Here is a 12,678-nt window from a genome sequence, read left to right on the forward strand (position 1 = left end):
ATCTTTTAAAAGTTAAAATTTTCATGAATATTTAGTTGATCCATTAACAAATTGGAGTTTCTTTTATTGCCAATCTTCTTATAAGGCATATAAAGGCTAGCCTCAAAAAGAGAAAGACATTATCAACAGACAGAATATTATTAGTTGGGTGATGTCAATGAGTCCTGAGTTCAAATCTTGAATAACAAACTAGAGAAAATGTTCCAGATTTGGAATTCCTGACAACCCAGGGAAACAATATGGTTTATATTTGGGTCTCCAACCCAATCTCATGTGGAATTGTAATCCCCAGTGTTGGAGGAGGGTCTGGTGGGAGGTGACTGGATCATGGGGGTGGATTTCTCCCCTACTGTTCTCACGATAGAGAGTGAGTTCTCATGAGATCTGATTGTTTAACAGGGTGCAGCACCTCGCCCTGCTCTCGCTTCTTCCTTCTCCAGCCATGTACGACATGCCTGCTTCCCCTTTGCCTTCTGCCATGATTATGTTTCCTGAGGCCTCCCCAGCCATGCTTCCTGTACAGCCTGCATAACTGTGAGTCAATTAAACCTCTTTTAAAAAAAAAAATTACCCAATCTCAGATAGTTCTTTATAACAGTGTGAGAATGTACTAATACAGGAAACAAACAAGACAAAAGAACAACTGGGAAGGGATGGAATGTCCAAAAGTTTCTCCATCACATATGATGGCTGTAAGTATGAAGGCTCTATTGTGTTAAGGAAATTGCTTCTATGCCTAGTGTTGAAATTTTGTGATCATAAAAGGTATTGAACTTCATAAATACATTTAGGACATCTATCAACATACTGTACTGACATATTTTTTCCTTTTTTAACATTAAAAAATATTTATTTATTTATTTGACACAGAGTCTTGCTCTATCACCCAGGCTGGAATGCAGTGACATGATCTTGGCTCACTGCAACCTTCACTTCCTGGGTTCAAGCAATTCTCATGCCTCAGCCTCCCAAGTAGCTGGGATTACAGGCATGTGCTACCACTCCTCGATAATTTTTGTATTTTTAGTAGAGACAGGGTTTTTCCATGTTGGACTGGCTGGTCTCAAACTCCTGACCTCAAGTGATCACTCACCTTGGCCTCCCAAAGTGCTGGGATTACAGGCGTGATCTCTCTGCCCAGCCATAATTTTTTCTTTAGTGTAGTGATGCATTGCCTGATATTCTAATGATAATTCATCCTTGAATATTTGGATTAAATATTTATGTAGTGTAATGTATTGTCATGTATTTTACATAGCAAGTACACTATAAAATTTATACTATTTTACTAATTTTACCTTTACTTTAGTCCAGTTTCTTCAGACTACCTTTATATTGCTGGACTGAATTTATTGTAGAGGCCACCTCAAATCATTTTTTCAGAATCAGGTGGGGTGTAAATAATCATATACTTTCAGCACTGAAATATAAACAGAAGAGAAATACTGATCATTGTGCTTGTCTCATTCAGATGATAGTTAATAATTGCATCCACATGATATATTACTATCACTATATCAAACAGTGATTCTCAACCATTCCTTGGGGCATGCTTCCCTATCCTGCTGATGTGACTGATGAATACATATTAAGCATGTGAAAGGCAAGCAGGCATCAAACAAAGTTCAAAAGCTTTGCCATAAAAAGAATTGCTCTTCAGTATAGATTGGAGTGTCAGGAAGACTTCCTTATTTAGTCCAAAGGAGGTGGAAGTTAACTGGCTAAGCTCTTCAGTTCTCTCTAATGATATATGCAATGGAGTTTGCTTCAGATTTAGCTTCTAAAGCTATCTATTCAAATATCAAATAATCAGAGAAACACAAAAGAAACATCCCAGGTACCAAGCTATATTTTGTACTTTTATACACATATATTTCTGCCAATGAAGGCCTAGGCTATATTTCTTCAATTTATGAAAAGGGATAGAATAAGCCTTGGGAACATAAATTATAACATCAGAATCAGAAAGTAGCAATACTATCAAGCTAAAAGGTTGAGGATTAATCTTAATTGAGAATATCTTCTGCCCTTCTACTGCTGGGGCCTCCAACTCTTCATCTAATATCTTGAGCACAAAACCACTGGGTGCATAACATCAAGTAAATTTGGTTATTATATAATTTTTGTATTTTTAAATGGCTGTTAACCAGGAAAATACTTCCCTAGCCTATCTGTAAATCTTAATACAGATTACATTTTTGGCCTGGGGGTGAGGAAAATGATTGGCTCAACTGACTCAAGAGTAGTATCAGTTTTTTATGACAATATCCATAGACTTTGTGTGTGTGTGTGTGTGTATGTGTATGTTTCAGGGCAGTGTCTAATTAAATTATTCTATACTTTTTGTTATGGGTTGCATACTATCCCTCAAAATATGATTGTATAATTCCTAGTACCCTCAGATTGTGACATTATTTGGAGACTGGGTCTTTATAGAGGTAATCAAATTAAAATGAGATCATTAGAGTGGTCCCTAATCCAATATAACTACTGTCTTTATGTAAAGGGGCAACTTAGACAGATACAGACGCACATAGAAGAAACATGATGTGACGACTAGACAAACATAGAAAGTAGACGACTATCTATAAACCCATAAAAGAGACCTGGAATAGATTATTTACTCACGGCCTTCAGAAGAAATCAATCCTGATGACACAGTGATTTCAGACTTCTAGCTTTCAAAATTGTGAATCAATAAACTTCTAATTTTTCAGCTGTACAATTTGTGGCATTTTGTTATGGTAATCTGAGCAAACTAATACAGCCTCATGTTAACACAAAATGGGGTTATTAAACAGTACAGTACAGTAGAGAAAGTCGAAAGTGAGTCCATCCAGTCCTTCCTATTCTTTTTTAATACCAGAAAAATGGTCTTTTTCCCTTCCCTTCCTTTCCCTTGCCTTCCCTTCCCTTCCCTTCCCTCCCTCCCCTACTCTCCCTTCCCCTCCCTTCCTTTGCCTTCCCTTTCTTTCTTTTCTCTCTTTCTCTTTTTTTTTGCTTCCTCTCTTTCTCTTTCTCTCTCTCTTTCTTTCATCTTTCCGTCCCTTCCTCCCTCCCTCCCCCTCTCTTTTTTTTTCTTATGCAAGCCCCTGATGTGTTTCTTAGGGAAAGTTACTAATGCCAATTGTTCCCATGTTCCTGTGTCCATCTTATACGTGTTTTCTCCCACCTTAGGGGTTCTATGTACTTTTAACAGGAAAACACCTTTTATTGTAACTAGGTCTTTTTGGTTTTGTTTTAACTGGGTCCTGGCTAGAATCTTGGTTCCTCAAGTCAAGGGCCATAACTAATTCATTTTAATATTCCTGTACCAGGTAGGAAGAGTGCATGAAATATAGTGGCTAGTAAATACTGCTCAATGAATACATAAATAATTAAATAAATACCTTAATTCATATTAACTGTTTCTATTGTTAAGCCTTGAGGTCCTGTTTGTGTCCATTATAATTTAACAGATATTTTTGTTGTTTTCCTATTTTTCTGATGTATTTAGATCCTACTATTTTCTTATTATTTTTAGAAATTATTCTGTTCATTAGATATTGATATGTGTGCACGGATGGGGAGGTGTTCATGTTAAAGTGCATACTCGAGAAATTTTTATACGAGATAATATAATTCTTTTAGCCTTATAGTGTATTACGTAGGCTAATTTTTCTCACATATCTTTACTCATTCATGTATTGGTTTTATTACCATTTGACTTGTTCCTATTGTCTAAGACCTTTATTGTGTATGTTACCAAGGTTTCTGTATCTCTGAAGATATCAACATTCATTTTCAAACTCACCTATCTACTTATTTTAGTTAGGACCTCTGGTGAATGTACGTTTTCAAGGGATCGATCTGAAATGTACAGAAATACACTTTTAATGTTCTCTCAGAATCCTAAGTGGAAATACAAAAATAGTAAAAGTCTCAAATTAATTAAAACTGTATAAATAACTACTCCAGTGTTACCTGCTGGATACAAATTAAGAAGAGTAAATGAATAATTTAAATAATTGTTCAGGCTATTAGGTGGGCAAAAACCCAATGGTTATGGCATCAAGCATACATGCAGAAAGCTAAGATCTTTATTTTGTTATTACTCAGAATAAATCAATATTTTTGTGGATAATTACCAGTTTAGGGCCAAATAATATCCTAAACTTAGGCTTTCTGTAAAGAACATTAAATGAACTGAGAAAGCATACATCTTTAGCATTTGTTTTTGAAAGTGTGACAATTTGCTATAGTTTTGGTCCCTAAAAGACACCTGTATGAGCTTAGTGCTATTTTATATTAATTTGAAGATTGGTATGGTTTTACTGTCTGTGCTTGAAGGTTATTTTTATTGCTCAGGTATTATTTTGACATCTACAAATGCCCAAGATTTTGAGGAAAGCAAATTTGCACAATCTGTTTGGGAAAAAAAATAGATCCACTAACATATGAAGCAAATTCTTAACTTCATTTTTTTCAAGTCACTTCACAGATTTGTGCCTTGAGTTTTTAATTTGCCTCTTTAAAATACTGATATTGCTTCTTATCTGCCATCTTCACAAGGTCGTTCTAAGATTCATGCAAGATGGGCATTTCCACTTTGAAAAATGTACATCTTAAAATTAAGAACTTCAATGCTAAAGAGTACTCTAACACTTTCAAGAGTTGATATAATTAAACCGAGTGCTAAATTTTCAAATTCATGGCAATATCCATACAAAGAATAAGTACAATGCAGACTGTACAGTGCTGACTTTTTACAGGGCAACTGGAAGGAGAAGTAGCAATTTTCTATGTTACTAGAGGTTTCCATTTTATTTCAACATATTAAAATTAATCAGTACCTATATATTGTTTTAGTTGAATTTTTCTTGGTGTTTCTTTAGTTTGGAGAAATTTCTGTCTTATCTCCAATGAGCTGTTTGTTTGTTTGTAATTTGGGAAATGGCTTTTCATCAATTTTATGAATAGTCTAGGAAACAAAGATTATTTTTCTGAGTGGAATATAATGTACTTAGTAATATTTGTTTTCAAAAATGCATTTTAGCTAAATCATATGCACCTTACCATTTAAGATTCATGGTTCAAAGAGTGATAAAGCTAGTTCAGGCAACATTAATGAATACATGAGTCATTCAAATGTATATCTACATGTACTATGTGGAAAGATATATATAGAGAGGGATGCAACTTATATGTGTACATGTCCAGAGACTTCCACTTGTTAATGTAGTGTCAAAAAAGTGTCTAAAAAAAAAAAGTAAAGTTGCTTTGTTGAAATGTATTCTTAAAACTACACTGATCATTCATGACTAATAATATAAAGCCTAGTGACTTCATCTTGTCATCTTGCAGAGCCATGGAGATATTGAACTTGCATAGATTTTTATCATTTGACTGTCTTTGCCTGCTAGTCTTCTATCATTTTTTGGCATGAATAGCTAAATGTGCACCTCTCTTTCCCTGAGTTATACCTTTGAGGGCACATTACTGGGCTCTCTGGTGTATGTAAAAGGCATCTAATGCAAAGACTGCTCTCAGAATGTTAAAAAGAATCTGCTACTTCAATAAAAATATTCTATATCCTTTCCCTTTTCTTTCCCTTGAGATTAAGGGAGTAACATGGTGTAATGGAAGGAGCATGAAATATATATATATATATATACCTTTAAATTTGAATATCAATTTATTATTTATCTGTCTGTATAGATGGAAATTATAATACCTGTCTGAGATCACAAGCAATCTGATCGATCCAGAATTCCTATTTGCAACATGTATTATCTTCCGACAGAAAATGATCCTGGCTTGATGAAGTCAGTGCAGTGACTTACCACTTATGTCTTAGCTAAAGAGGTAAATCCATGATCTTCCAGCTCAAAATATATACTGACTATCTGCTTTTGAATATCTGAGATTTTACCGTAAGAGCAATGCATACTCATAGAACTTGAAAACTTCAGATCTCTTTCATATTCTGTGTTCTTTTAATTATACAAATCTCTAAGGAATTTAGTTATGAGTCATTAACACTTTAGTAAAAATTTACTCAGTAAGCATTTAATGGATAACTCTTACATACCAGGCACCATGTGACACAAATGGTATCTTGGAAATAGATTTCTTAAAGTCTTCATTTTTTTAAAGCTATTTAGGTTTGAGATAGATATCAAAAATGAGAAAACAGGATAAAGAGCAGGGTTTTTTTATACAGATCTTGTAAGCAGTACTGTCCACCTTTCACAACTGTTGATCAGCAGGTAAACTTTGCCAATGAATTTCTAAACCATCAAAACAAACTCCATTCTGCAAGTCGGCTATTCTCTCACATCCTATCCACAAACTCTATTACCATTTATTCTTTTTAAATCTATGTTTTGTTTTTCTAATTTGATGCACATCATTAACTTCCCACTTATGACTTTGACTTTTTATTGACTAATTTTGCTACCTGATAGGCAGCACCTCCCCACATCACTTGGAAAAAAACCCTTCTACGTCTAACCTTACATTTGAAAACTTAGACTTACTAAACCTCTTCTCTACTCTGAATACACAGGTACCATTGACACTGCCTATAGAAAGCTACAGAACTGGGATCCTGGGGTGGCTAGGTTTAGAATTTTCAGGGAAGGTGACTTGGTCTGCCTCACTTTGCCATCATCACAAAGCTGTACCATAGGGAACTCAAGGGCACCATCTCGTACCCAAGATAAGGAGACTATGGCATTTATATTACAGTTCTCAGTATTATATTGCCTTTTATAACAAATAGATTTCAGAACACTCGAGAAACTGGATTTCATACACGACAGGCCTTTCGACTCCGAAATTCAAATATAAAAATGAAATCTGTTGGTAAGAAAGATAATACTGGCCAAACGCAGTGGCTCACACCTGTAATCCCAGCACTTCGGGAAGCCGAGGTGGGCAGATCACAAGGTCAGGAGATTGAGACTATCCTGGCCAACATGGTGAAACCCCATCTCTACTAAAAATACAAAAATCAGCTGGGTGTGGTGGCACGTGCCTGTAATCCCAGCTACTCGGGAGGCTGAAGCACAAGAATCGCTTGAACGCAGGAGGTGGGGGGTTGCAGTGAGCCAAGATCGTGCCACTGCACTCCAGCCTGGCGACAGAGCAAGACTCCGTCTCAAAAAACAAAACAAAACAAAAAAACAAAGAAAAAAAGAAAAGAAAGATAATATGGTGATAAGAGTTCTGCATGTAGAACTTTATCCATGATATGATAGTTCTAGTTTCAATTTGTAGTAAATTTATATCTTGGAAGATGTTCATTTACAAATTTGAAACTTATTCTATTTTTTTAACTCAATTTTTATTTTACTTTGAAATGTCACCATCTTAAACTGCATTCTTTGAGCTATGCAATTCCTAATTATCTAAGATTATTTTAGTTTTTTTAAATCCTAGCTATAATATACTTCTCTAATTTTAAAATCATGTTTTTTGAAAATTATTTTCATCTTTTACACAATAATATTTGGAGAAAGAGATGACATAAGTGATATCCATAAAACCTCATACTGAGTCTTAACAGCATAAGAATACAGATCTTGGTGAAAAAGAAACTATAACTTTTTGCAAGCCAAAGCAAATGTTTGCAATGCAAAGATCTTCTGGACTAGACATTCCTTGGTAGATGGTCACAAAAGGGGGAAAATCTTGAGTCCTCCCAGAAAAACATCTGGCTTCTACTTTGCTCTGGGAGAGTTGAAACACAGAAAGCATTACTGAAATTGAATTATTCCATGTTAGCCATTTTGAAACTTTAAACATACCATATCCAAACTTTAAACTGTACATTGGATTAGTTAAATCATAATGAAGATTTAAAATTGACAATGAAAAGCTGAAAAACCTAATAAACTCATTAGAAATTGTGTTATTCTGTCTAATACTCAAAGAAAGAAACATTGTATAATGATGTTTAATTCCGTATTTGGGGCTTTTAGATACATAATCCTTGACCATACTAATATACTACGTATTTGGCAAAATGAGACTACACAAATGATAAAAAGGATTTTATAAACTAATTTTGAGATGACATGTGTATTTGTTAACTTAGTGGCTACAGTGAGGCATTCATGAAAACCCTGGACATAGAGGAAGTAAAGTAGTCTCCTTAAAATTAAGCCTTGAAACCAGTATTTTGGAGCAGAGATGTGCAAAATCATTTTGAAGAGACAGAATGCCTGCAAAGTAATTAGTATTGGTTGTAAAATGATTGATTAATATGAATCAATAAGAATGTTTGAAAAGAATAGGGCCAGAAAGAAACACGAGGATGAGGATCAAAAGTGGACGTTAGAAAAAAAAAAAAAAGAGCTTAAGGCCAGGGTCCCACCAGGAGCTTCGCAGGGTAAAGGATACGTTTAAATAGGAAAAAAAAAATCCAGATACTGGAAGACAAATCTGTTATTAGGGATGTTATTGCTAACAAGACTGATGCCATTAAACATCAGATTCCTATTGTAACTTTTCCTGCTTCATTCTGTAGTTATGAAGCAAATTCTACCTATGGTTCTGTTTAGCTTTAGAGTTTTTCTAAAGAGATAAGTCACTGGTTATGTCAAACATTATAGGTTTCATTGAAAATTTAAAAATTGCTGATACCAGTTCTGAGCAATGATTAGATCAACCTTCTGAACCTATACAAATGTTAAGGCTATGTTCTTGGTGATAGCCAAGGTAATCTCTTGTTGACCCTGGTGAAGCTGGGCACAGCGGGTTTTAAGTAAATGTTCTTTAAATTCCTGTAATATGCAATAATATTTCCTCATAAAACAAGTATAAATTTTTTACCTAAACTCCATTGTAAAATAAATGTTATCTTCCAAAAATCAAACAGCATCCAAGTTTGAGCTTACATCTTACTGAGCTGACCAAGATTTTAATCTCAGCCTTTATTAGGATTCACTCCCACGCCTGTGGTTGTGCAAAGATCCAAGGGCTTTAAGCAGAGTAGACCATTTGGTGAAGCTCTCAGATCTCTACTATTATGACTGTTGTCTAAACCTGAGTGGTCTCTAAAGGTGAATAATTCCATTGCTTCTGTGCCTCACTTAGCCATGAGGTTTTTGTTAAGGCTGAGAGCCCCGAGTGCCTGGACTCAATCTCCCTAGAAGTGTCATGTACTGATTTCAGGCTCTAAGTTACTGTGGTCTCCCTTTAATTTTGTCAGGGCATAGGAATTTAAAAGGATTCATAATTTTTTATGTTTATACTACCCTTTTTCTTGGCACTAGCCACTTTTCCAAGAAAAAAAAATAGTCATAAGTTTCTGAAGTCAATTCCTGGATTTAGCCATGGAGCTAAAATCAAGCACGTGAAAAAGAATACAAAGCTTGATTACTTCTGGGAAATTAGAAGATAAGTAAAAATCCAATTCAGAGTGAATAAAACCAATGTTAATATAACAAAGCATAACCCTATATCATCAACAGTTATTAAAATGACCTAACAGGCATTATTTTCAACAACCGTTACAAGTACTTTATATTCTTCTTTTTTAATAATTAAAAAAATGACTACGGACATTAATTGACCTGTGAGGGTCAATATGAGTATGAGGTGCACATGACATTTGAAATTAGTTATTTTTGCTTCAAATTCAATGTTACTTTCAACTAGCTTTCATATAGAAATATTAACTTTTATTTTTTTCTAAAATTAATTTAAAAATTCAAAAAAAACATATGATCTTCTTTCCTAGTTCAAAATTAATCTATGACTCTTCTTAATTCCAGCAGTTGTGACCATAGATGTGGAGGCTTAAATACTTGTTCTCAGTTTTCAAGTCTTCCTTCTTCCAGCTGAAATTCTCATCAAAATAATGTTTATGCCACACACTTTCTCCCAAATATTACTTCATTAATTTAGCCATGTGATCAGGGTATCCTTAAATTAATGAAGAATAACTATAAAAAAACTTTGTTGAAAAGCTTGCTAACAGGAATGAACAGAGATGTGGGTGTGGAAAGTTTTCAAAAGTACTTTAGCATGAAGGATGCTGTATGTATGCTGTTGTCAACACTTGGAACACAGTGACTAAAGTTGCCCATGCCTGGCACAACCTATGGCCCGCGAGCATGTTCCATAGTGATGATGCACAGAGTGGTGACTTTGAAAGATTGGGTATGTCACGTGAGAAAAAATATATATGTACCGTCAGAGTCCATCTGTAAGCTGAAAGAAGTGGATATGGAAGACATTTTTAACATCGATAATGATGCTCCAGTTGTTCTTTCATTGGCCAATGGTAAAATAGTTAAAATGGTTCTGAATCAAGGTGATGTTGAAAATAATGATGATGAAGATGACATTGTTAACACTGCAGAAAAAGTGCCTATAGATGACATGGTGAAAATGTGATGCACATATTGAAGGACTAGAACAGCATGTATTCATAACAGAAAAAGAAATCATTATAGTTTATAAAATCAAACTGAGAGTTCTAAGACAAAAGCTATTGTTAATGAGGCAGATGAATCTGGAAGAAACATTTAAAAATAACAATTGATACAGGTATTCTGATAATGCTACTCTGCTGCTTAGTTACTCTGAACACATTAATTTTTCACTGTATCAATGGAATTTCATATTTTGTAATGTTAAGTACTTATATGTAACTAAGTATAAGAAAATGATTGCTTATTGGTAGGATATAAATTCAGAGTCAGGAATGACGTTGATGTCAAGCAACCAGATTGTCCACAGGGTTGTCTAAAATAGTGACACCTTTGCTTCCTGATGGTTCAATGCACACAAACTTTTTTCCTGCACAAAATTATTTGAAACATTGTATAAAATAATCTTTAGTCTATGTATATAAGGTGTATGTGAAACATAAATATATGTTTTTATTTAGACTTGGGTCCCATTTCCAAGATATTTCACTATGTATATACAAAGATTTCAAAATCTGAGGAAAAAAAAGCTGAAATCTGAAACACTTTTGGTTCCAAGCTTTCAGATAAGGGACACTCGACGTGTATACTATTATGGGAAGAGCGTATATGTTTGTTCTCTTGATGTTGCCCTTAGACATCTGATTTGTATTGATCAGTAGATTAGATGTGAAGAACAGAGGTCTTAAATGTGCTTAAACATTGTGTCCTTCAAGCTTGTGATCCTCTAGGAGAAGAGCATGCTCAAACATAACTTTGGCCTTTTCAGCCAGTGTTCCGAAACAGACATAAATGGAGAGAGACCTGAACCATTCCTACAATCTGGATTTAAGTCTAGACAACATAAAGCCTGAGGCACAGCCACCAGTTTCCATGAACATGGGAATAATGCTGATGTAACCTACTGAATTATGAGATATTTTGTCAACAGCAGTGTGGTGGAAATAGCTGATGAATAGAGTCTACATATACTTCAGAAGCAAACAAATAATTTTAATTCATGCACCTGGATAGTCATGGTTTGTATACATGACAGTCATTGAATGTCTGTCAAGAGAATAAGGGGTATTTGTACATTATGAACATAAAAATGTTGACACTATCATTAGTAAATAAGAAGACATGCAATACTGTTAATGTGTTATATATTACAATGTCATTTATGTAAATAGATGTAATTTTATACACATTGTATTAGTCAACACTATCCAAAGGAACAGAGCCAATATTGTTTGTGTTTGTGTGTGTGTGTGTGTGTGAGAGAGATGTATACACAAAATCTCTCTCTCCCACTCTCTCTCTACAGAAAGAAGGTGAGATAAAGAGATTTTAAGAAGTTGAGTCACAATTATGGGGTCTGTCACATCAAAAATCCACAGAGCCGAAAATCCATATAATTAATCATCACAATATATATACATAAGCATATATTTGCTCTATGCTATACTCTGGAATACATTTTCTTTCTCCTGTGGTGTTATTCCCTATGGCCCTGGATCACTATTTAGATGTTTAAAAAAGATTGTTTATTGCCCTGGCCTGAACTTTGGGGAAAGATTTTGGGAGAAGGAGGTCTTTTCTTTCAATTCTGTCACTTTCTATATATTTTTTAATTTCCTATCCAAGTGCATGTCAGAAATTACCAAGGGCATTTACTGTTTTATGATGATTCAAAATAGAATTCTTGACCAGGAGTAGTGGCTTGTACCTGTAATCCTAGCATTTTGGGAGGCCACTGCAGGAGGAGATTGCTTAAGACCAGGAGTTCAAGACCAGCCTGGGCAATATAGTGAGACCTCCTTGTATTAGACCATTCTTTTTTTATATTTTAAGTTTCACACTCTCTATTTTTGTTTTGTTGGCTCGATTTCTCATTCCTCTTTTTATTTTCATTTTTTACTTCAATAGGTTTTTGGGAAACAGGTGGTGTTTGGTTTCCTGGATAGGTTCTTTAGTGGTAATTTCTGAAAATTTGGTGCACCCTTCACCCACGCAGTGTACTGTACCCAATGTGTAGTCTTTTATCCCTGAACCCCCTTCTACCTTTTCCCACAAGTCCCCAAAGTCCAAATTATCATACTAATGCCTTTGCATCCACATAGCTTAGCTCCTACTTATGAGTGAGAACATACAATGTTTGGTTTTCCATTCCTGAGTTATTTCACTTAGAATAATGGTCTCCAATTCCATGCAGGTTGCATTATTTCATTTTTTTAATGTCTGTGTAGTATTCCATGGTGTGTGTGTGTATATATAT

General features: G+C 34.7%; 1 long non-coding RNA gene across 2 annotated transcripts in view; it reads left to right on the forward strand.

The window, feature by feature from the left end:
- LOC105376084 (uncharacterized) overlaps nt 1–12,187 on the forward strand; it is a 52,939-nt gene extending 40,752 nt beyond the window's left edge. The window contains exons 5-7 of one of the 2 annotated variants that reach the window (XR_007061581.1): nt 400–534; nt 5,698–5,844; nt 9,762–12,187. This is a non-coding gene — a long non-coding RNA (uncharacterized LOC105376084). Of the gene's footprint in view, nt 1–399; nt 535–2,506; nt 2,723–5,697; nt 5,845–9,761 lie in introns of those variants that run through there. The other variant, XR_007061582.1, reaches the window with a different exon arrangement.
- The last annotated feature ends 491 nt before the right edge of the window (nt 12,188–12,678 follow it).

The sequence above is a fragment of the Homo sapiens genome, chromosome 9 (genome assembly GCF_000001405.40).
Source record: "Homo sapiens chromosome 9, GRCh38.p14 Primary Assembly".
Lineage (NCBI taxonomy): Eukaryota > Metazoa > Chordata > Mammalia > Primates > Hominidae > Homo > Homo sapiens.